The following is a 24,923-nucleotide window of genomic DNA, read 5'->3' on the forward strand; positions in this document are numbered from 1 at the left end:
CTGGTGGCAGCCTAGCTCTTGTGCCTTTGAGGAAATTACCCTGGGGACGGCTCTGTGGAACATATTTGCAAACCACTGATTTGGAAGATAGAGATGGCTTTTGTTAAGATCTGAATTCACCTTTTTGGCATTTTATTTGATTTCTCAAGGTAAAGAACTTATTTTGTAATAAAGTTTCCTATTATTTAGTAGATAGGCCAAGTTGCTGTGTTAATTCCATGTAGATTTTGGGTTTCCTTTGCTCATTTTTTCACTCTTAATCTCACATCATTGTAAGTTTATGGAAGTTATCATACTTCTGACTTTTTCTTTGAAGAGCAGAAATTAGAAATTCCCAATAATTATTTTGATAGTGTCATTTAATGACACTCACATGTGATGTAGCCACAAAGATTTAATGAGTTCAGTTTTAAATCATATTAAGACTGTTGGTTTCATTTGTTCTCATTAATGTAATTCTGAAGATGAACAATAAAATGTATTTTTAGAACTTTCAAATGAAATATTATTTCATCCTTCCAGATCATATAATGCTTAAGTTCTGATTGTTAATCATAAAGTCTAGAAAATTAAAAGATAATAAAATGAAAGTGACTTTTAGGTATTAGAGTTTTATTATAAATTCTGGTGTGTCATTGGAGCTATGACATGAATATTTCAAAGGCCAATAGCATTGGATCTTTACAGTTATAACTTACCATTTTTAAGTTTAAGTAGTAATATAGATTATTTAATAATCAAAATCAATAAATATTAATTATTAAAATGTTTTGTGGTATAGTTTGAGAATCATTGCTTTTAACTTTTTCCATATAGGTTTATTGACTTTAATAGCATTCTAAACATAACATCTCTACATTCTTTGTGTTTAATACTGTGGAGGTATAAAAATACTTATATATGATGATAAACTATATTAGAGTAAATTAAATATTCTTATGAGTTTCATTTTAGAGTGCATTTACTTAATTTTGAAGTCCTTATTTTTAGCAAACTAAAAGGAATGTTGGTACATTATTTACTAGGCAAAGTGCTCTTAGGAGAAGAAGAAGCCTTGGAGGATGACTCTGAATCGAGATCGGATGTCAGCAGCTCTGCCTTAACAGGTAGTTCTCACTAGTTAGCCGCTGGTGTGGACCTTCACTGTCTGCCTTCCACCCCTTGCCCTTCCTGCTCGTCCCCCTGCACCTGGTGGACAGCACGACTGGGGGCAGCAGTGGAGCCAGGTTGCTTAAATGGGGCATATTCGGGCTTCTTTTATAATACTTACTCTGAAGCTTGTGTGTCTGTGGTGTTTGCATCATATATTTGTTGTTTTCCATGGTTTAGGCTGTTTTAAAATTAGGTTTATGGCTTGAGCATAGGGCTTTGTGAGTAGGGGATGGCAGGTCGAAACATCTCATGAGTTGGATGGGTTATGCTGGGGGTTGGGAAATGGGATGAAAAATTATGGGATGAAAAATTGCCTATGGATAGTTTAACTTGAAAGAATCTGCCTTTGTTTACAGATAGTTATCTTTTTTCTTTTTTGAGATAGAGTCTCACACTGTCACCCAGTGCAGATACCCAGTGTCACTGGAGTGCAGTGGTGTGCTCTTGGTGCACTGCAGCCTCCGCCTTCTGGGTTCCAGCGATTCTCCTGCCTCAGCCTCCCAAGTAGCTGGGACTACAGGTGCCCGCCACCACGCTTGGCTAATTTTTGTATTTTTTTGTGGAGACGGGTTTTTGCCATGTTGGTCAGGCTGGTCTTGAACTCCTGACCTCAAGTGATCTGCCTGCCTCAGCCTCCCACAGTGCCGGGATTACAGGAGTGAGCCACTGTGCCCGGCCAGTTACAGATACTTATCTAATGAAATTCTCTGTGTACTTTATAAAAGATGAGGATTAACTGAAGGTACTAATAACTGGATTATATGAGGGTGGTTTTGGTTGTATAATCCTATCTAAAAGAATATTTTAGCTATAACTGAAAGTAAGACTTAAATATTTAGAGAGGAAAATCTGAATAATTCTAGTAGTAATTATTTATTTACAAAATAAAAATAGATTTTTTTTTGATTACACAAATTAAACAACAATAAAACATCACAGCAATCCGGATACTATAAAGCTCACATGCTTACCGACCCAACTGCCCCAGGAGTGACCACTGCCAACAGCTTCATGTCGACCTTTTTGCCATAATTTTTATATAGCCTTTTTTGTTTTTAAATGGTAATTTAGAAAGTCAACTAGGAAAATGTGTTACAGGTTTATCTTCCAGGAGAATAGGACTGGAGTCGAGATCTTGAATGTGGCTTGGAAGAAGGCAAGCCCACCCCAGAGAGATGAGTTGACAGTTGTTTCTGACCACTGCTTGCTTAGAGGGCCTGCGTGTCTGTGACCGCCTAGCTTTGCGCCCCTGACTAGGCTGCCCCTTAATTACAAATGTCTTTATATATTGCTCCAGCTAAGGCTTGGAGTAGTCGGTTAAGAACTTGAACTTCGGTTTTTGCAGTGAAACAGCATTTGAGAATATCACCTTCTGATAAGCCTTATTTTATAAGGTGGGTACTGTAGTGGGAGGCAGTGTGAGAGATGCTTGAAGGATGCACTGCTGTCCTGCATTTCAGCATCTTCAGGATGCTGTGCAGCTGAAACATTTGATAACGGTGGAACTGTTCGTTATTTTGCAAGCCTGTGATTCCCTATTGAATGTTTTCTCTCGCCATTTGACAAATGAGTGTTTCTCTGTCTTCAGCCTCAGTGAAGGATGAGATCAGTGGAGAGCTGGCTGCTTCTTCAGGGGTTTCCACTCCAGGGTCAGCAGGTCATGACATCATCACAGAACAGCCACGGTCACAGCACACACTGCAGGCGGACTCAGTGGATCTGGCCAGCTGTGACTTGACAAGCTCTGCCACTGATGGGGATGAGGAGGATATCTTGAGCCACAGCTCCAGCCAGGTCAGCGCCGTCCCATCTGACCCTGCCATGGACCTGAATGATGGGACCCAGGCCTCGTCGCCCATCAGCGACAGCTCCCAGACCACCACCGAAGGGCCTGATTCAGCTGTTACCCCTTCAGACAGTTCTGAAATTGTAAGTGGGCAGAGGGGCCTGACATCTTTTTTTTTATTTTTTATTTGAGACAGAGTCTCACTCCATAGTGCAGTGGAGGCCGGGCACAGGGGCTCATGCCTGTAATCCCAGCACTTTGGGAGACTGAGGCAGGCGGATCACTTGAGGTCAGGAGTTCGAGACCAGCCTGGCCAACATGGTGAAACCCTGTCTCTACTAAAAATACAAAAATTAGTTGGGCGTGGTGGCACATGTCTGTAGTCCCAGCTGTTAGGGAGGCTGAGGCAGGAGAATTGCTTGAGCCTGGGAGGCAGAGGTTGCAATGAGCCGAGATCGTGACACTGCACTCCAGCCCGGGCAACAGAGCAAGACTCCATTTCAAAAAAAATAAAAAAATAAAGTGCAGTGGCTCGTTCTCAGCCCACTGCAACTTCTGCCTCCCAGGCTCGAGCGATTCTCCCGCCTCAGCCTCCTGAGTAGGTGGGATTACAGGTGGGCACCACCACACTCAGCTAATGTTTGTATTTTCAGTAGAGACAGGGTTTCACCATGTTGGCCAGGCTGGTCTCAAACTCCTGACCTTAGATGATCCACCCACCTTGGCCTCCTAAAGTATTGGGATTATAGTTGTGAGCCACCATGCCCGGCCCTGCCACCTGCCATCTTTTGAGTTCTTCCCTGGAGACCTAGACCTGAACCCTCCTGCTTGTTCTCTTGTTATCTAATACCCCTATTGACAGCGCAGCTTAGATCATTAATGGAGAGCTTGACCTCATCTGATACCTTCACTGAAGGAAACAACTTAGTGTCTTTTGTGTTGAACACTGAGGTAAAAAATTGGAATAGTTGATTATATGAACTCTGCTAAAATTGAGTGCATTTTACATTTTTTAAGGCCTTGTTGGGCCCTGGTTAAATAATTATTTTTAAAAATCCTTAAGGAGCCTATTATAAACAGATCTGTGGTCTTAATGAAATGTGATTAATACTGTGCATTATTTTAAGAACTTTTGACTTTTCAAAAAACTTTTACAACATTTCCCATTTGATAGCGGCATAGGTTTAAGCACTTCTCATCTCTAAGTTAGTGGACAAAAAACCCTCATGGATAGTCTAATAATGTTTGCTACAAGTCCATGTTGAGTTTTATACTCCATTTTATTTTCAGTTTTAAAAACTGTGGTTAAATATGTGTAACATAAAATTTATGTTCTTAACCATTTTTTGCGTATACAGTTCGCTGGTATTAAATACATTTAAATAATGTCATGGAATCATTGCTACCACCCATCTCTGTAACCTTTTGATCATGTAACACTGAAGCTCTGTTCCCATTGAACTCTATTCCTCCTTTCCCGCCAAGTCCCTGGCAACCACGATTCTTCTTTCTGTCTTCTGAATTTGACTACTTTGGGTTCTCATATACTTTAGGAGTCACACAGTATTTGTTTTACTTAGCATAATGTCCCCAAAGCTCATGCATGTTGTAGCCTATGTTAGAACTTCCTAATGTTTCAGGCCAAATACTATTCCATTGTATGGATAGGCCACATTTTGCTTTTCCATTCCTCTGTCCATGGACACTTGTATTGCTTCATGTTTTAGCCATTGTGAATCATGCTGTTATGAACGTGGGTGTACAGATAGCTCCTGGAGACTCTGCTTTCCATTTTTTTGGCTAAATACCCAGAAATGGAGTTGCTTTTACATTCCAATTTTAATTTAAAACATTCATATCATTGAGTGTTTTACTTAATAGTATAGTAGTTAACAAACTTAATAAAATAGTATTTTGGTAATAATTTGCTGGTAGTCCATTGTTCAGTTTTTTTAGGTAAATTACACAGGACATTTCAAGTGGACATGAAACATCTTGTGATGTGGAATCATGCCCCAAGCTGATGGCTAAACATATGAAATACCATACCCTAAATTTAGTAGATTTAGTCTTTGCAATTTAGGAGATAACCTGTTATATTGTTAGGTTTTTGTCGAAAAGCTTTGTCCTCATATTTCCAACTTGCTGTAAAATTTGTTTGTGAAGACAAATATTTTTGTATGGGTTTTTTCTTTTTCATATTAAAAAGAAATGTCCACATTGGAATTTTTTTGGAGTTTTTAGAGCTAATAGAGCTTTTCATAATGTAGTGGGAATGAGTGATCAGTAAGCTCTTAGCAGTTTCCATGCGTGCATTTCTGTGCCTTGAAATAAATGACAGATGAGTACATTTGTGTTCTGTGTGTAAAATGTGCTCTTTCCTCATTGCACTTCCATGTTGGAGGGCTTGTCTCTTGGTGATCACACTTCAAAATTCTCACAGCCCCCCTTGAACCGTTTAGGTGTTAGACGGTACCGACAACCAGTATTTGGGCCTGCAGATTGGACAGCCCCAGGATGAAGATGAGGAAGCCACAGGTATTCTTCCTGATGAAGCCTCGGAGGCCTTCAGGAACTCTTCCATGGGTATGTGGACTACAGGTGATGCGCTACAAAGTGGTTTGTATTCAGACCTGGACATCTTAATTATATCTTTGCTTCCAAGAAGAAGTCCTTTGATACTGTTTTCTGAGTTCTGAATAGCTGATGAAAATGACCAATTGAGGAATAATCATACTTTTTCTTGATCTAAATCTTATACTTTTGAGTTATCTTAGCATAAATGTATAATTGTATTTTAAGTGGAAATTTGTCACTTAATCTTGATTTCTCTGTTTTTAAAGCCCTTCAACAGGCACATTTATTGAAAAACATGAGTCACTGCAGGCAGCCTTCTGACAGCAGTGTTGATAAATTTGTGTTGAGAGATGAAGCTACTGAACCGGGTGATCAAGAAAACAAGGTGAGGGACATAGGCTTGAGACGACTTGGTGTTTCTGAGCTTGTGTGAGGATTTAAAATCGCCCTGGCTACTGTCTACTTTATTGCTTTCCCATCCCTGGGCCTTTAAATTTCCCCTTTAAATACCAGCTCTTCCCAGGCCTGTTGTTTTCTGCCTTTCCAGGTACTACCCACAGCCTTGAGAATTGCCTGAGTTCTGCCTCCTTTGAGAGTGTGCCCCAGACAAATCTATTCTGTACTGAATGTTTCCTTGTCTGATTTCTTGGATCATTCATTTGATGGTTGCGTATGGCCTGCAACGTTTCTTGTTTTGGTTCTACTGAACTGTTCTAAAAGTCTCTCTTCATATTATCTTTTTACATGTAAATGTAACTGTCTTCACTTTTAATTCCTCAAGGACAAGGAATAGCGTTTCACAGTTCGTCCCATCAATCAGAATTATAGCCTTTGGCATCTCCCTATCTACCAGGCCCACTTCCTCTTAGATTTGGGCTTCCCCAGGCTGTTGCCTTTCCCCAAGTAGCTTCTGCTTGTCCTGTAGAAGACCTTTCATGCTTTGCTTCTGCAGCAGCCGTTCCTGAATGCCTAGTGTCAACTGCCTTCTTACCACGCCCACCCTCCCTGCATGCTGCATTTATCCCCTGCCACAGCCCTGTGACCCTGTGTCCTGCTGCCTCTGACTTGTCTGTTTCTGCTTGGCCATGGTCTCTGTGAGGTCAGGTGTGCATATGGGCACAAACCAGGGCATCTCTTTATCCCCAGCACCTGGCTTAAGTGCTGCTCTGGAACTATCTGTTGAATGAACTAATGCATGAATGTATTGTTGAGTATGAGACAAACAAGTGTCATTGTCTCCTTTCTAGCCTTGCCGCATCAAAGGTGACATTGGACAGTCCACTGATGATGACTCTGCACCTCTTGTCCATTGTGTCCGCCTTTTATCTGCTTCGTTTTTGCTAACAGGGGGAAAAAATGGTGAGTACAAAAGGGGATGTGCACAGTTGAAGGAAATAACTAGGTTTCAGAGGTCAGCTTGGTGGCCTGTTTTTGCCTTGCGTGCAGCAGAGGAAGTAGAATCTGAGGATGAGTTTGGTTTTCACTAGCCGAGGGGAGGGAGGAAATGATGGGAGCAGGTAGGTTATTGGGTCTGGTTTTGTTCATTTGAAAACAATCTGTTGTTTGAGGCTGAAGGTGGCTTGGGTGATTTCTTGGCAGTGCTGGTTCCGGACAGGGATGTGAGGGTCAGCGTGAAGGCCCTGGCCCTCAGCTGTGTGGGAGCAGCTGTGGCCCTCCACCCGGAATCTTTCTTCAGCAAACTCTATAAAGTTCCTCTTGACACCACGGAATACCCTGGTATGTTAAAAGTTCACATCTTATTTTCTCAGATTTAATCATTATTGTAAAAACTATTTCAGTATTGACTATTTTAGTTTTAGAGCAGTAAGTGTTTTGAGTTCATTTGGGATATTTGACCTGCGTTGTAGCTCTTCAGAAAACACATGAATAGTGAAGTTCTTTGTTTCATGGGTTCCCTTTAGATGAAACCCATAGAGGAGAAAAGTAGAAACCTCAGCACGTAAGAGCCAACATATATACACATCGGATTTAAACCTAAAGCACAAATTGTGCCTGGTCGCAGTGGCGCTGAGTCGCACTCAGCCAGGCCAGGCATTCACACTCAGGGTGAGTGGGAACCAGGACTGGCTGAGGCAGCAGTGGACCCAAGTCTCCATCGCGCCCATGCTTACTATGGAGCCTTCTCGTTCTCTCTTTTTCTTTGGGTGAGAGGGTACACTTGTGTTTTTGAATTTATATGAGGTAAGTGTGTAATAGGGTTTTTTCTAATCTTTTTTAAGTGGAATCTGGAATTTTAATCAGATTTATTATCTGACAACCTAGAATTATAATCCAGAAAGTCTGTGGTATTGAGGACATATTGGCAATATGATGAATCTCTAATTCTTAAATCCTGAAACTTTTTTTTTTTTAATCACTTAGGGTTATTATAGTGAAGTCATTTCTGAATTTGGATCTTCTCTTCACACCTCTTTTTCTCTTTCCTGAGAATTAAGCTTTTGTTTCGAGTTAGAAAGTTGATAGTAGGGAATTGTTCCATGGCTGAGCAATTTATCTCCACAGAGGAACAGTATGTCTCAGACATCTTGAACTACATCGATCATGGAGACCCACAGGTTCGAGGAGCCACTGCCATTCTCTGTGGGACCCTCATCTGCTCCATCCTCAGCAGGTCCCGCTTCCACGTGGGAGATTGGATGGGCACCATTAGAACCCTCACAGGTAACGGCCAGTTTTTCAGCTGTGTTTTTTCTAGTTATGCTTACTAAGGTTTAAGTTTAGATGATGATGTTTGTTGCTTGTTCTTCTGGTTAGGAAATACATTTTCTTTGGCGGATTGCATTCCTTTGCTGCGGAAAACACTGAAGGATGAGTCTTCTGTTACTTGCAAGTTAGCTTGTACAGCTGTGAGGGTGAGCATAATCTTCTGTGGAACCATTTCTTCACTTAGTGGACATTTTATCATTGCTACAATTAAAATTGGAGCTTAATAGGAAATATTTCCATGCACTCTAAAGCTGTAACCAGTAATACCCACCATGTATCCATCTCTCAGCTTTAGAAAGAAAACGTTGCCAGTAAAGTTAATGCTTCATAAACTTCAGTTTAAGTTCTAATTCTCAGAATATTTGTTTGAAATAGACCTCTTCCTAAAGGATATATTTAGAAATAACCTATCATTAAGTGTAAAGTCTGTTGAATATGCTGGGCACGGTGACTCACACCTGTAATCTGACCACTTTGGGAGGCCAAGGTGGAAGGATTGCTTGAGCCCAGGAGTTCAAGACTATGGGCAACATAGTTGACCCTGTCCCTACAGAAAATTAAAAAAAAAAAAAAAAAAAGTAGCTGGGTATGGTGGTGCATACCTGTAGTCTCAGCTACTCGGGAAGCTGAGGTGGAGGGGGGATTGCTTGAGCCCCAGAGATCAAGGCTGCAGTAAGGCGTGGTTACACCACTGCCCTCTAGCCTGGGCAACAGAGTGAGACTGTCTCAAAAATAATAGTAATAATAATCAGTTGAATTAAAAAAAAAAAAAAAAAAACCACTGTGCTAGGCCCATAGTATGGTAAGAGTTAAAGTGAGCCTTAGGGATTATTTACTCAACCTCTGTTTCTGTATAAAGTGGAATAGGCTCAATTCTTTAAGTGATAGCATGTTGAACCTTTCCATACCAACTGGCTCATAAGTCACAACTGGCCAGTCAACAAGAGTAAAAATTAACTGGTAAAAATCAAAGCAAAAAACCTACAATTGTCAAATTTGTGGGATAACTCCCCCTTTTAAAATGTCATGCCTGACAGTAATTTCTCTCTAGTTTCCAGGTTTTCAGTCAGTTGTGTCTTTTTTGAGCAGAAGGAAGCATGCTAAGAGCTCAATCTTGTGGCTAGCTGGGGGTCTTTGTGTCAGCCATGCATGTGATGGTGCCCCTGGGTGCTTGGGGCTGCAGGGGAGGGGTACAGCAGTAGGGGCCTGTTCTGTTCTCTCGTGCTGTGGAGTACATAGTGACATAGTGGGGTGGTCCTTGGTGTAGGTCCCTTGTTCCTACCCCTGGGTCTGAGATTTATTTAGAAGTGGTGTTGGGGCTGTGCGGCAGGCCCCTCTGTAACTGATCAATGTTTGTGAAGTTGCTGTTTGAGAGTTGAAACCATGACATAAGCAGAAATGGAAGGAAGAAAGAACCAGTTATGTGAAAGGGACACATTTACTTTTAAGCTTGTATTTACTGAGATAAAGTATTCTTAATCAATGTTCTTGAGAGGTGTGGGAAAAATGCAACATCCTGGTTGCAGTTAAACCCAGAACATTGTGTGTTGAAGAGTGACGGTTCTCAAACCGTCAAGACGCGGGTACTGAGTGGGACTAACCTGCTGTCCTCTTGCCTTGGACCTTGTGTTCCAGAACTGTGTCATGAGTCTCTGCAGCAGCAGCTACAGTGAGTTAGGACTGCAGCTGATCATCGATGTGCTGACTCTGAGGAACAGTTCCTATTGGCTGGTGAGGACAGAGCTTCTGGAAACCCTTGCAGAGATTGACTTCAGGTAAGTGAGTCACATCCATTAGATTTCATGAACTAAGCTCAATTGAAAGTTCTGGGATCACTTGATGCAAGGAATGATGTTATCAAGTACCCTGTCCATCAGAAATCCGAGTGGTTTAGGTAGATGACAGTGATTTTCTCCTCCCAGTGGCTTTTTGCTGAACTTTGCCCTATGCTTGGAATTTTATTTTATTTTATTATTTATTTAGAGACAAGATCTTGCTCTGTCGCCCAGGCTTGAATGCAGTAGCACAATCATAGCTCACTGAAGCTTTGAACTCTAGGACTCAAGTGGTCCTCCTGCCTCAGCCTCCCGATTAGCTAGGAGAATAGGTGTGTGCCGTCACACTGGCTAATATTTTTTGTAGAAATGGGGTCTTGCTATGTTGCCCAGGCTGGTCTCAAACTCCTGGGCTTGATTGATCCTCCATCTTGGCCTCCCAAAGTGCTGGGATTACAGGCATGAGCCACTGTGCCTGGCCTAGAATTTTAAAATATAAGTAGAAGAGTAGATTTTTTTTTTTGGTAGTCCTCGTCATTTAAGTATTCTGGATAGTGGGAATAAAAGAGCTTAGAATTTTTCATCTTTGTCTTAAACTTTTAAAAAAATGTAGCTTATATTAATTCTGCTTGTTTAAAAAGAATATACTCTTCATTATACTGAACCTAGGTAAGACAGCTGGTTTATATTTTGTTGCAATTAAAAAACGTGAGCTGTGGTTGCAGTGAGCCAAGATTGTGGCCATTGCACTTCAGCCTGGCAACAGAGTGAGACTTGGCCTCAAAAAAAAAAAAATAACATGAGCTGTGTTGGCACTTTCATTTTCTAAGAGTAGTTTTGGCTGGAGAAGTTTTCTTTCAGTACTTTCTTTTAGAAGGGAAATTTTCCTTTATAATTTAGGGTTTGTTTTTTTTTTTTCCAAGCCACCTTTTATAGAGCCCTTGTGGGTTATTTCATTTAATCCTTAGAATGTTTATAAATCTGGGCTTGTTCTCGGCTCCACCCACAGATAGGGACGCTGAGCGTGCATGAGTGGGCAGCAAGATAGCAGGTTATGGAGGGCCCAGCTCACCCCTTCTGTGGCTTGAGCCAATTTTATAGGGCACTTACAGAGTCTTTTGAAATAGTATTTATTTTGAAGAAAAAGAAAAACAGTTTACTGAGTACTGTCTTATTGAGTCTGGAATTGTGAGAGGAATGCCACCTCTATTTATTTAAAGCCATTGGCCTTTTTTGTTGTTTTGAGTAAGTGCTGCCCAAGGTCCTTCCAGGGCACCTGGATGAGCCTGCTCTGGAGCAAGCTGGCGGTAAGTGTTTACTGAGTAACTAAATGATTTCATTGTTAAATGTGCTCTTTTGTTAGGCTGGTGAGCTTTTTGGAGGCAAAAGCAGAAAACTTACACAGAGGGGCTCATCATTATACAGGGGTAAGCGGTTTATTTTTGTGAGATGCTGTTTTACCTTCAAGAAGGTGAAAGTGAGGCTTTCCTTGTGGAATTTCTCTAAATGCATTCGTCATGTTTTAGATGTTTATTTCACAGTTTATATCATGAAAGTTATAATCTTGTCATATGGATTTAAGTCTAGTAATGTTGAGTTCTTTCTCACTAGCTTTCCAAAATATCTTACCTAAAATTTAGTCAAATACAAGATTATGTTTATTTTTATTATCCTTCTCTCTAAAGCTTTTAAAACTGCAAGAACGAGTGCTCAATAATGTTGTCATCCATTTGCTTGGAGATGAAGACCCCAGGGTGCGACATGTTGCCGCAGCATCACTAATTAGGTATTTACCAATATTTTATCTCTTTTCCTTTTTTGGTTGAAGTACTAAAAGATACGAGAATGGAAAGAGAGGGAAGAATTCAAAGGATGTAGAGCAGTATTCCTGAATCTGAGCTCATTTCAGCCATTCTATTCTTAAACTATAATGAAAAAAAAATCCAAAAAAGTCTAAAATTATAATTAAAAAAACAACAAAATACTAACTGTCCATTGTAAAAAGTAATGCACTTTCATTGTAAAAATTTTGGACTATAGAGAATAGTACTAAGAAGAAAAAAAAAATCACCTTCAATTCTGCTGCCACCTGGAGGTAATCACTGTTAATATTTTGCTATATACTCTATGAGTTTCTTGTTCAAAATCAGGTCAAAATTACATGCAATTTTGTAATCTGACAATTTCCACTTAATATTTTATTAGCATTTTCCTGTTATGAAACAGTAATTTTAGTTATGGGTCGTTGTTTTGCTATGCGGTTGGGATAAAATTTTATATACTTTTTTTGGCAATTACTTATTATACATAAATGTTTGTGTATAGTTTTCTTTTTCTGAGAATTCCTGGAAGTTGAGTTACCAGGCCCGGCTTTGAATTTTTTTTTTTATTTTTTTTTTGAGACAGAGTCCTGCTCTATTGTCCAGGTGCTATCTCGGCTCACTGCAACCTCTGTCTCCCTGGTTCAAGCGATTCTCCTGCCTCAGCCTCCCGAGTAGCTGGGATTACAGGGGCACACCACCACGCCCAATTAATTTTTGTATTTTTAGTAGAGACAGGGTTTCACGATATTGGCCAGGCTGGTCTCGAACTTCTGACCCCGTGATCCACCTGCATTGGCCTCCCAAAGTGCTGGGATTACAGGCGTGAGCCATGGCGCCTGGCCAGGCTTTAAATTTAAAACAAATCTTCTAATAGCTTTATGGAGGTTATAATTTACATTTCTTGAAATGTACTCACTTTGAGTGTATAGTAAACTCCAATTTTATCACATTTCTGTCACCCCAAATGTATCCTTGTGCCCATTTGCTGTAACCTCCGGTTCCTGCCCCAACTCCTAGGCAGCCACTCATCTATTTTCTGTCCCTTAAGATTTGTGTTTTCGCCAGGCGCTCATGCCTGTAATCCCAGCACTTTGGGAGGCCGAGGTTGGTGGATCACTTGAGGTCAGGAGTTCGAGACCAGCCTGGCCAACATGGTGAAACCTTGTCTCTACTAAAAATACAAAAATTAGTCGGATGTGGTGGCACACGCCTGTAATCCCAGCTACTCGGGAGGCTGAGGCAGGAGAATCACTTGAACCTGGGAGGCGGAGGTTGCAGTGAGCAGAGATCGCGCCACTGCCTTCCAACCTGGGCAACAGAGAGAGACTGTCTCAAAACAAACAAAGATTTGTATTTTCTGGACATTTTATAGTACTGGGGTCATAGTATAGATGGACTTTTGCATTTGGCTTCTTTTACTTAATTGTGAGATTGGTTCTTGTTGTAGCATGTATCAGTAGTTTGTTCATTTTTATTGGCGAAAGTATTCTATTATATGAATAATACCATATTTTATCTATCCATCAGATGGATATTATAGAGTTCATGTTTTGGCTAATTTATGAATTATGGTACTGTGAACATTTGCCTGCAAGATTTTGTGTAGACATGTCTTCATTTCTCTTGAGTAGATCACCTAGAAGTGGATTTTTAAATAATTTTGGTACTTACTGTGAAACTGCTCTTCAAAAACATACCATTGTTCCTTCCTTCCTTCCTTCCTTCCTTCCTTCCTTCTTTCCTTCCTCCCTTCCTCCCTCCCTTCCCTACTTCCCTCTCCCTTTCCCTTTCCCTTCCCCTTTTCCCTTCCCCTTCCCGCCTGCCTGCCTGCCTGCCTTCCTTCCTTCCTTCCTTCGTTTCTTTCTACATATACACATTTTTTTAAATTTCAATGGTTTTTGGGGTACAAGTGGTTTTTGGTTACATGGCTGAATTTTGGTTACATGGTGAAGTCTGAGATTTTAGTACACCTGTCACCCGAGTAGTGTACCTTGTACCCAATATGTAGTTTTTTGTCCCTCACCTTCCAGCCTTCCGCCTTGTGAGTCTCCAATGTCCATTATACCACACTGTATGCCCTTGCGTACCCACAGCTCAGCTCCCACTTCTGAGAACATATAGCAGAAACATGCCAAAGTATACTCCCACTACCAGAATGTGATTGTGCCTGATTCTTCTCACCAGTACAAATATTTCAAAAAAAGTTAAATATGTATCAGTTTTTTGGGCAGAAGTTGATACTTCTCTTTATTTATTTATTTTTTTTGAGATAGGGTCTCATTCTATGATGCCCAGGCTGGAGTGTGGTGGTGCGATCTCGGCTCACTGCAGTCTCTGCCTCCCAGGTTCAAGTGATTCCCACGTCAGCCTCCCAGGAAGCTGGAATTACAGGCGAGGGCCACCACTGCCAGCTAATTTTTGTATTTTTTGGTAGAGATGGGGTTTCACCATGTTGGCCAGACTGGTCTCAAGCTCCTGACCTCAAGTGATCCACCTGCCTTGGCCTTCCAAAGTGCTGGGATTACAGGCGTGAGCTACCACACCCGGCTGATATTTCTTTTTAAAATAACTTACCTTCTTTTGAAAGTAATACATGTTTAATGAACAGAATTTAAGGAAAATATAAAAAAACGAAATAATCTTTGTAATCAAACTACTGAAAAGAAAACCAAAGTTACATTTTGGTGCATATTCTTTTTCATTTTCATCATTGTAATTTGCATTTCTTTGATTACTTGTGAGACACTCCTTTCATTTACTTAATAGGTTTATATGACTTGCCTATTCAGAGATTTTGCAGCTTTACCATTTTCTGCAAATGATAGCAACTTCTTTTTGTTTGTTTGTTTGTGGAGACAGAGTCTCGCTCTGTCACTCAGGCAGGAATGCAGTGGTGGAATCTTGGCTCATTGCAACTATTGCCTCCTGGGTTCAAGCGATTTTCCTGCCTCAGCCTCCCAAGTAGCTGGGATTACAGGAGTGTGCCACCATGCCCGGCTAATTTTTGTATCTTTAGTAGAGATGGGGTTTTGCCATGTTGGCCGGGCTGATCTTGAACTCCTGGCCTCAAGCGGTCCCCCTGTCTCGGCCTCCCAAAGTGCTGGGATTACAGGCGTGAGCCACCGTACCCAGCCAGTAGTTACTTCTTATATTCTAGAAAAAATTCTACTCATGATCAAGTCTCCATGAGGAAAGAGACTTTAATTGAAGATCATGGGGCTTGCAGACCAATATGATAAAATAGTTCATTGTTTCTAAAAGTATTACTGAGTGTTGATGGCAGATATGAACCCTTTTGTTTTTGTAGGAAAATGTTACCCGTATTCTCCATTTGAATTCAGTTTAGATTTGTTAGGAATCGCAGCTTAAGCTTTGCCATCTGGGAGTGTTTGGGACAGTTTTGCAGACAAAATTGCAAAAGTGCCTAAGGAATGCAGCTGGCATTCAGACCTGCTCTGTGCTCAGTACTCTGTGGACAGACACTGTTCAGCACTTGTTGATCAGAAGGTTTAGAAAGAGAACTTTCAAAGTTGGTTTTTAATTAAAGCATTTAATAGTGTAAATAGAAAGGGATTAAATTTTATGACAGACAAAAGAAAGTACAGCACCCAGCTGGGCGTGGGGGCTCACGCCTGTAATCCAGCACTATGGGGGGCTGAGGTGGGTGGATCACGAGGTCAGGAGTTCAAGAGTTCAAGAACAGCCTGGCCAAGGTGATGAAACCCTGTCTCTACTAAAACTACAAAAATTAGCCGGGCGCGGTGGCAGGCGCCTGTAATCCCAGCTACTCAGGAGGCTGAGGCAGGAGAATCACTTGAACCTGGACGGCAGAGGTTGCAGTGAGCCAAGATTGCACCATTGTACTCCGGCCTGGGCCACAGAGTGACATTCTGTCTCAAAAAAAAAAAAAAAAGAAAAAAAGAAAGTACAGCACCCAGTTATGTCCGAGTGGGTGCATGAGAGTGACCCTGAGATTGGAGACAACGCTGTCACGTGCTTGAAGAACGCCACCTGAGAAAGGGGGCGAGAAGTGGTGTCCGCTGGTAACCAGAGGTGTTGGCTTAGCCATCTGCAGGGAGGAGGGTGGTCTATCACAGGTGAGTTTCATCTACTTTCTTAAGCAAATTAACCTTACTTTTGTGTTAGGCTTGTCCCAAAGCTGTTTTATAAATGTGACCAAGGACAAGCTGATCCAGTAGTGGCCGTGGCAAGAGATCAAAGCAGTGTTTACCTGAAACTTCTCATGCATGAGACGCAGCCTCCATCTCATTTCTCCGTCAGCACAATAACCAGGTATGCTGACCCAGTGGCATCTTCACATTGTCGGGAAAATGCCCTTTCCTGATGCCTTTCTTTAGGCTTTAATTGAAAACATTTTATTTTCTAGAAAAAAGCTTCAGCTCAGGATGTTTGAGTGTAGGTCAGTCCTTTGATAGGATATTATCATTTTGAGGATTGACCACACCACCTCTGTATTTAAGCTCTGCCACAATCACTCAGCTGTGACACTGTAAATCTCTTAATAGTTTATTACATTCCATGTGCTGACAGTTGTATTTTTGTTTGTGACACTTACGTATTATCTGTTAAAACATTTTCACTTTAGTTGTGTTACCTTTAAAGAGGATTGTATTCTATCATGCCTGTTGATTTTTTGGTGAGCGGGCTATTAAAGTCAGTGTTATTTAGGGTTATCCACTAGTTCAGTGATTTGCGAGATTATCATTCACATTTATTGTGGAGCTTTTGAATATCGTGTCAAATGGCCACATATATCCCATTCTTATCTGCTTCTTAGGTGAGTGGGACACAGTGCTTTAATGAAGCTATAATCTTCAGAATTCTAGCTTGCAGAGAAGATTGCAGAAGTGATAAGACTTGTGCTTTTTAATTTTGTCTTTTAAATGTTATTTTAAAAATTGGCTTTATATGATACTCTTTTTTTCTGCTGAGTAACAGTGTTTTACAAAACTTGGACTAAATGACTTCTAAGCTTAAATGATCACTTGATGCTTTTTTTCTGAATTAGGAACTCAGCTTATCAAATATCAAAGTCATAATTCCTGAATAAATAACGTCTTTTTTCATGTAAAGACTGCTTTAAAAAACACATGGAAGGCTGGGTGCGGTGGCTCACGCCTGTAATCCTAACACTTTGGGAGGCCCAGGTGGGCAGGTCGCTTGAGCTCAGGGGTTCAAGACCACCCAGGGCAACATGGCAAAACCCACCTCTACTCAAATACAAAAAATTAGCCAGGCGTGGTGGCGGGCCCCTGTAATCCCAGCTACTCGGGAGGCTGAGGGATGAGAATCACTTGAGCCCCGGAGGCAGAGGTTGCAGTGAGCCAAGATTGTGCCATTGCACTCCCAGCTTGGGCTACAGAGTGAGACTCTGTCTCAAAAAAAGACACACACACAAACAAAAAAAACATGGAGACATTTTTTTGGCCACCTTAATATTTCCCCTCAGATAATTTCCTTTGTTTAAACTCAGAACTGGCATTTTCTCTCTTGGAGAAGATTCAGGACAAATACTCCTTTAAGATAAGTAGAAGCAGTGAAAGAGGATTTGATTATCAGGAATTTGATAAGCTTAGAATAAATTGTTGCTTCTTAATGTCATTTCAGAAGATGAATATTTATTAATAGATGCCAACTGAGATATCATTAAAATTGATTACTAACTACTACTTGGAAAAGTCTCCCAGTTCCAAACTTCAGCAGGCCTCTTGACAATTCAGCTGTGGTCAATTGGGTCTTGCGTGATAGATACAATGACCAATTGTGCAGCAGAGTGTGCTGCTTAGCTGCCTATTCTGTTAGCATTCATGTGTTAACTTAAAATCATAATCTCCTTAGTTTTGTTGAGTGTCTCCGTGGACAAGACACTGTGAGGGATACAAAATCAGATTGGCTTTATTCAAACCACTGGGGTATTATAATTCATTTATAATTTATTTTATTTTTTGCCTTTTTTCCATGTGTTCTAAAGGAATTAGAGTTTGTATATAACTATAATGGGGGATAGAAATTGACATGTGCCATGAAGGGAATGCAAAAAAGTGCCGTGGGAGATGAGAAGTGGAGAAAGGAATTTCTTTTTTCTTGGAAGCAGGAATAACTTCATGAAGCATGTATTTCAACTTAAACAGATAGTAGGCAACGCTGTAAGGGGAGTATGGCTGCAGCAAAAGTGTTCGGGGCAGACTGGGAGGAAGGGAGGGAATAAATTCAGCCATTGTTATGGAATAATGATCAAAATTTATTTTCAGCCCGTTTCACTTAAAAGTTGAGACTGCTTAACTTTTTTTAATCTTTAATCTTAAACTTTTAAATGCCATTTGATCTTTAAAAATATATGTTTTAATAGTGTATTTTAAGTCTCTATATTTTTGTTATTAGAATATATAGAGGCTATAACCTACTACCAAGCATAACAGACGTCACTATGGAAAATAACCTTTCAAGAGTTATTGCAGCAGTTTCTCATGAACTAATCACATCAACCACCAGAGCACTCACAGTAAGTCTCTTTCTTGATCGGTCTTACTGACATTGTAATAGTTTTTGGTAGCTTGTATGGCCAGTTAGTTGTATGGTCATCTTACGGTGAGGTGCTTGTCTTACAGCTCTTACTTATCCATGAGGCTTGCTAAGAAATTGTGCTTCTGTGAAAAGAATCTCAGCTTACTCCAGGAATGTAAATGACTATGTTTTTTCTGATTATTAAAGTAATACACGCCCAAAATAAAAAAATTCAGCCAATTTAGGAAGACACAACAATTAAAATAAGCCAGGCATGGTGGCTCATGCCTGTAATCCCAGCACTTTGGGAGGCCAAGGTTGGGGGCTCACTTGAGGTCAGGAGTCGGATACCAGCCTGGCCAACGTGGTGAAACCCCATCTCTACTAAAAATACAAAAATTAGCTGGGCGTGGTGGCGGGCGCCTGTAATCCCAGCTACTCAGGAGGCTGAGGCAGGAGAATCGCTTGAACCTGGGAGGTAGAGGTTGCAGTGAGCTGAGGTCAAGCCACTGCACTCCAGCCTGTGCAATAGAGCGAGACTCTGTCTCAAAAAAAAAAAAAAAAAAAGAAAAGAAAAAAGTAAACTACTGTCACCTGCATTGGTAATGTATCAGAAGTTTAAAATGTCTAGATTATAATTAACTCAGTGACCTGGTAATATATACTAAGGGAAAAATATTTATAATTTACATTTTTACATTTTTATTTTTTTAATTTTATTATTTTTTTTTTGAGACAGAGTTTTGCTCTTGTTGCCCAGGCTGGAGTGCAATGGCATGATCTCAGCTCACCACAACCTCCACCTCCCGGGTTCAAGCAATTCTCCTGCCTCAGCCTCCTGAGTAGCTGGGATTACAGGCATGCACCACCATGCCCGGCTAATTTTGTATTTTTAGTAGAGACAGGGTTTCTCCATGTTGGTCAGGCTGGTCTCAAACTCCCAACCTCAGGTGATCCGCCCTCCTCGACCCCCCAAAGTGCTGGGATTACAGGTGTGAGCCACCATGCCTGGCCTTACATTTTTATAATAAGAATTTATGTTGCTGACATTAGAAAAGAACCATAATATCCAAGAATCCAAGAATAATTAAATTATGTACATATGCTAGTATATAGTGTGATGCTTTGGAGAATTTTTAACAATATGGAGATGTATAATCTGGATTGTAATATTGAGTGAAAAAAGGCAGAATACAAACCTGGTGGGGGTATAGTCGGATTTCAGTTAAGAAAAATAATATTTACATATATACATTTCTCACACTGGCAGATAATCACCAAGATAAATTTTGGGATTGTGGATGATTTTTTTCTTCTTTATATTTTTCAGATATTCTCAAATTTTCTAAAATGAGCAAGTATAACTTTTGTTATCAGAAAAAAATAATATACAAAAGTAATGTTAATTTGCTGGTGACCAGGTTAAACCTTTTTATTTTTATTTTTTGAGATGGAATCTCACTCTGTTGCCCAGGCTAGAGCACAGTGGCATGATCTTGGCTCACTGCAGCCTCCGCTTCCTGGGTTCAAATGATTCTCTGGCCCCAGCCTCCTGAGTGGCTGGAATTACAGGCGTGTGGCACCACACCTGGCTAATTTTTGTATTTTTAGTAGAGGTAGGGTTTCACCAGGTTGGTCAGGCTGGTCTCGAACTCCTGACCTCGTGATCCACCCACCTCGGCCTCCCAAAGTGCTGGGATTACAGGCGTGAGCTACTGCGCCCAGCCAGACCTTTTTATTTTATTTGACAAAAGAAATACTTCCATGTTATAGAAGACTAAATATTGTTTGGGCTGTCTGCAGTATGGTCTTCCCTTGATTTGTTCAAAATATCGTAAACTTTGCTTATTTATTTTTATTGTGGCCGACTGTGTCGGGCACTGTTGTAGGCTTGGGATGGAAAAACAGGATTCCTGCCCTTAGGGTTTCTGCAGGCTGGTCAGGGAGACGATGTGGTAAGCTGGAGCTCAGCTCCTAAGGATGTGCAGGGGCAGTTGAGAGGCGGAAGGGTGGGAGATCATTCCAGGGTGTGGGCAGCACAGGAACCTCTCTTCATTGGGATATAATTGCCATTCTGATAACACGTGTTTGAGGTGTCTAAAGTAGGAAGTTGTACCATGGTGGGACAGATATCCTGTGGTTATCATACACAGATCTCAGTTTTCTTCTCATTGTTTGTACTTTTTATAAAGGGTAACAGGAGATATAATTCAATAAACCTTTGTGGTGTTTGGGTGTGATTTTATTGTTTCTTTCTTCTCAGTTTGGATGCTGTGAAGCTTTGTGTCTTCTTTCCACTGCCTTCCCAGTTTGCATTTGGAGTTTAGGTTGGCACTGTGGGTATGTATTTTCCTCAGTATATATTAATAGTTGTCTACAACAGTATGACATAAACATAGTTATTAGGATGCCCTTTTTCTTTCTTTTTAAGTCTTTTATCAATTTGGCTTTTTGGAAAAATATCTGATGGAATACTTGTTTCTGCTATATTAGCTGTGTGAGACTAGTGACAGGAGCTGTGGGAAATGAATGCCAAATGTTCTTAGGCATTGATGGGAATTTCAGGGTGTGGTCTTCAAGTTCATTTAAGGGAATTTTCATATGCTGGCAAAAGGCTTTTCTCATTAGCTTGACTCTTTCCAAAATTATTTGCTGTGAATTAGAAGTTTAGGAACCTTTTTTCACTTAATTGTGACCTAGCATACGAAATGGTGATGATTTAGGAACTACTGTTCTTGTATTAACAGCTTTTATTTAAAAATGATTTTCCTCCAGTAGATGGCCCTACTAGCATCTGGGAAATAATTTCAAGTCTTCTCCAGCATTCAGGAATAGGCTTTCATTTTGTGTATCAATTACTGAGAATGATTTTGGTGACTCACATCACATTTGAGAAGTAAACCTGCAGATTTCTTGTGTGTGTCAGCAAATGACCAACTGATATTTGCTTGAAGTGGATTACATTATCTGCTCTAGAATGATTGCTTTCCCACCTTCCTCACATACAGACTGAGCAGCTACGGTTTCTAATCATAGGTCTGGCACTAGACTTCACTTCTGGGCAACTTTGGCATTGGAGTAAAATGTATTAATTTAAAGAAAGTTAAAAATCCGTTCAAGTAAACATACAGTTCTAATACTTTTTACAATTTAAAATATAGATTTAAATGATAAAATAAAAAAGAAAATATGGGTAGACACCATAATCCTCGTTTCTGCATCTGTTCACAAGGGGTTGATATTTATGAGTTCTATTCTCCATATCCATTCTATGTTCTCTTAATGCTCAGTCAGCACCTCAGGTGGTTGGAGTTCAATGCTTGGTAGTTTGACTTACACTGTCTTTTCTAGGGGATTGAGCCCTGGGTAGTCCTGCTTATTTGAGGTTGCAATTTGTCTTTCAATAACTTTTACTACAAGATATGGCGTGTTAAAGGATACCATTGGGGAACCAACATAATAATATCAGGAAAACTAACCACGTCAGACCTGCCCCATTGTGTATCAAGTACACTATTTTTCCATAGTAATAAAGAGTTCACCCCAGCCAATTCTCTTTTATTTTGTGCCTGTTTACTCAATGGCATTAACATGCCCAAATGTCTGGGTAGCTGTCTCATCTCCAGTTCAGCAGAACCATTGTCATATGCCCTAGTAAAAGCATTCCTTCATTGGACACTTAGGCCCCAATACTTTCATTCAGATCTACTACCTGATTTCATTTCTCAAATGATTTTTATGGAGCTCTGATTTATAGGAAAGATGTTAGTTGATTAAAAATAAAACAATTTCTGAGCTGGTATAAAATGTATTGTGACATGCCTTCCTCTTGGAATTGCAAGAGAAAGGAAGACTGTTGTTTGCTTAAAAATTGTCTATAATTTGACTTTGCAAATGTCTGCTTCCAGAGTGCCTCCACTGAGTGCCTCAGATGAGTCTAGGAAGAGCTGTACCGTTGGGATGGCCACAATGATTCTGACCCTGCTCTCGTCAGCTTGGTTCCCATTGGATCTCTCAGCCCATCAAGATGCTTTGATTTTGGCCGGAAACTTGCTTGCAGGTACTGGTACTGAGTTGAAACAGGGACTCCAGGACTTGGATTTTGATTTCCTTAGGGGGAATGGGGGTGGTGAGCATATGAGGGGAAAATACTATAAGGTCATTGCCAGTGATGGCTTGTCCCTTTAGTCAAATTTCAGATGTTACCTATATGCATAAACACATGCAGTTGGCAGCTGTTCTGTGCTGAGTATTTTAAAGTAGCCTCTTCCCAATATAGCCCCTCAGTTAACTACAAGTAAACTCATTTTGAATTTCATTTTAATGGGCACCATATGCCAGTACTCCCTCGGGCACTGGGATGTTAAGAAAGTATAATGTATGGACTTCATTCTCAAGTTAGTTTTAGATTAGAGGGGGATACACGTAAACAAAAGTGCAGTGGTCACACAGAGTGGCCCTAATCACTCTCCTTGGGCAGATTTATGGGCTGGTAGGAAAGAGCACAACACGGAGAGGGTGTAGCACCTTGGCGATGATAATGGAGGATGTGGCCAGCAAGGAAGACGGAGTCCATTGAAATTGATTTTGGGAGAAGTTGCCAATCTCCATGAAAGAATTGGGGCCTGTGCTATTTGCTTCAGGGGGCTATAGGAGAGTTTCGTGAAAGGGACTAAAAGATGAGTATTTTAATAAGATCATTCATCCAACTTGAACATGGGCTGGAGGAGAAGGTAGGGAGACTCAGGAGATTAATGTTGATGCTAAGGCAAGATAATGGCTTTGGGACTGTAGGGAAGACACTGATTGTAAGAGAATGAAGGAGGCAGAATTGCCAGGCCTGGTTCACCAACTGAACTTCGGTTGTGAAGACAAAGAAACCTGGGATGACTTCACATCCTGGGCAGGTGTGTGGTGGTGACAGTCATGGAAATTGGGAACACAGATTTGTGCGGGAAACATCAGTTTCAGTTTGAGTTTGGCTTATCAGTTGAATATCAGGCACAGATGTCTGGCCAACTCTCAACATAGGGTCTTAAATGACTTCAGTTCCCCAAGCAATTTGTCCTTCCCATGCTATTGGGGTGGAGAGGTAATGTCTGTGCCCATATCACAGCCAGTGCTCCCAAATCTCTGAGAAGTTCATGGGCCTCTGAAGAAGAAGCCAACCCAGCAGCCACCAAGCAAGAGGAGGTCTGGCCAGCCCTGGGGGACCGGGCCCTGGTGCCCATGGTGGAGCAGCTCTTCTCTCACCTGCTGAAGGTGATTAACATTTGTGCCCACGTCCTGGATGACGTGGCTCCTGGACCCGCAATAAAGGTAATGTCCCACTTGGGTGCTGGATTCATACAGCCTTAATGACTATGGGTTTCCAGACTACCTTTGTTTAGTAATCTGTCCCTTCTTTATTCTCTTTTTGCTTTAAATGAACAAAATTGCTCAGATTGTGACACTAAATTTAACATCAAAATGTGACCATGTGGATGGGTGCAGTGGCTCGTGCCTGTTATTCCAGCACTTTGGGAGACTGAGGCAAGTGGATCACTTGAGGCCAAGAGTTCGAGACCAGCCTGGGCAACATCACGAAACCCCCTCTCTACTAAAAATACAAAAAATTAGATGGGTTGGGCCGGGCGTGGTGGCTCAAGCCTGTAATCCCAGCACTTTGGGAGGCCGAGGTGGGCGGATCACGAGGTCAAGAGATCAAGACCATCCTGGCTAACACAGTGAAACCCCGTCTCTACTAAAAATACAAAAAAATTATCTGAGCATGGTGGCGGGCGCCTGTAGTCCCAGCTGCTCGGGAGGCTGAGGCAGGAGAATGGCGTGAATCCGGGAGGCGGAGCTTGCAGTGAGCCGAGATCGTGCCACTGCACTCCAGCCTGGGTGACAGAGCGAGACTCCGTCTCAAAAAAAAAATTAGATGGGCATGGTGGTGCGTGCCTGTAATCCCAGCTACTTGGGAGGCTGAGGCAAGAGAGTTGCTTGAACCTGGGAGGCGGAGTTTGCAGTAAGCCTTGATTGTGCCGCTGCACTCCAGCCTGGGTGACAGAGTCAGACTCTTTCCAAAAGAAGAAAAAAATGTGACCATGTGTTTTATAGCTCTTTTAGTATCATCAGTCACTGTTATCCCTAAGAGGGAAATACCTAGCTTTAGTTTTAGGTTTCCAGCATTAGCCAAGAAAGCTCAGAATTGATGTTCCTGGCCAAGTACCTCATTGCTGTCTCCTTAAATCTTGGTTAATGGCTACTGTCCTGGCTAGCATAGTTATGGAGCATTTCCATGGTTGTAGAATGTTCTGCCAATCTCAGGGACAGTTTTGCTTTTCTGTGAAGCAATAAAATCAACTTCAAAACAAATGTTAACTATTTGTACAATGGATTTAAGATAGACCAGTTCACATACTTTTTTTTTTTTTTTTTTTTGAGATGGAGTTTCATTCTTGTTGCCTGGGCTGGAGTGCAATGGTGTGATCTCAGCTCACTGCAACTTCTGCCTCCTGGGTTCAAACGATTCTTCTGCCTCAGCCTCTCGAGGCAGATTACAGCTGGGATTAC

The 24,923-nt window shown here is 41.1% G+C and overlaps 1 protein-coding gene across 2 annotated transcripts in view, besides 1 other annotated feature; it reads left to right on the plus strand.

The window, feature by feature from the left end:
• The window catches only part of HTT (huntingtin), a 169,280-nt gene that overhangs the window by 49,843 nt on the left and 94,514 nt on the right, over nucleotides 1-24,923 (plus strand). For both annotated transcript variants that reach the window (NM_002111.8, NM_001388492.1), the window contains 16 exon segments: nucleotides 1,026-1,106; nucleotides 2,741-3,081; nucleotides 5,401-5,524; nucleotides 5,782-5,900; nucleotides 6,763-6,874; nucleotides 7,115-7,252; nucleotides 8,039-8,197; nucleotides 8,291-8,388; nucleotides 9,878-10,017; nucleotides 11,381-11,444; nucleotides 11,703-11,803; nucleotides 15,987-16,133; nucleotides 18,243-18,363; nucleotides 20,629-20,705; nucleotides 22,274-22,425; nucleotides 23,482-23,684. In NM_002111.8, coding sequence (NP_002102.4) covers nucleotides 1,026-1,106; nucleotides 2,741-3,081; nucleotides 5,401-5,524; nucleotides 5,782-5,900; nucleotides 6,763-6,874; nucleotides 7,115-7,252; nucleotides 8,039-8,197; nucleotides 8,291-8,388; nucleotides 9,878-10,017; nucleotides 11,381-11,444; nucleotides 11,703-11,803; nucleotides 15,987-16,133; nucleotides 18,243-18,363; nucleotides 20,629-20,705; nucleotides 22,274-22,425; nucleotides 23,482-23,684 — 2,177 coding nt within the window.
• Nucleotides 10,888-11,067: a silencer, noted in NCBI's record as "fragment chr4:3137138-3137317 (GRCh37/hg19 assembly coordinates)". NCBI's record gives its function as "represses an EF-1alpha promoter that drives an FKBP-Casp9 reporter gene in an ReSE screen in K562 erythroleukemia cells {active_cell/tissue: K562}" and the evidence as "EXISTENCE:reporter gene assay evidence [ECO:0000049][PMID:32094911]".

The sequence above is a fragment of the Homo sapiens genome, chromosome 4 (assembly GCF_000001405.40).
Source record: "Homo sapiens chromosome 4, GRCh38.p14 Primary Assembly".
NCBI lineage: Eukaryota > Metazoa > Chordata > Mammalia > Primates > Hominidae > Homo > Homo sapiens.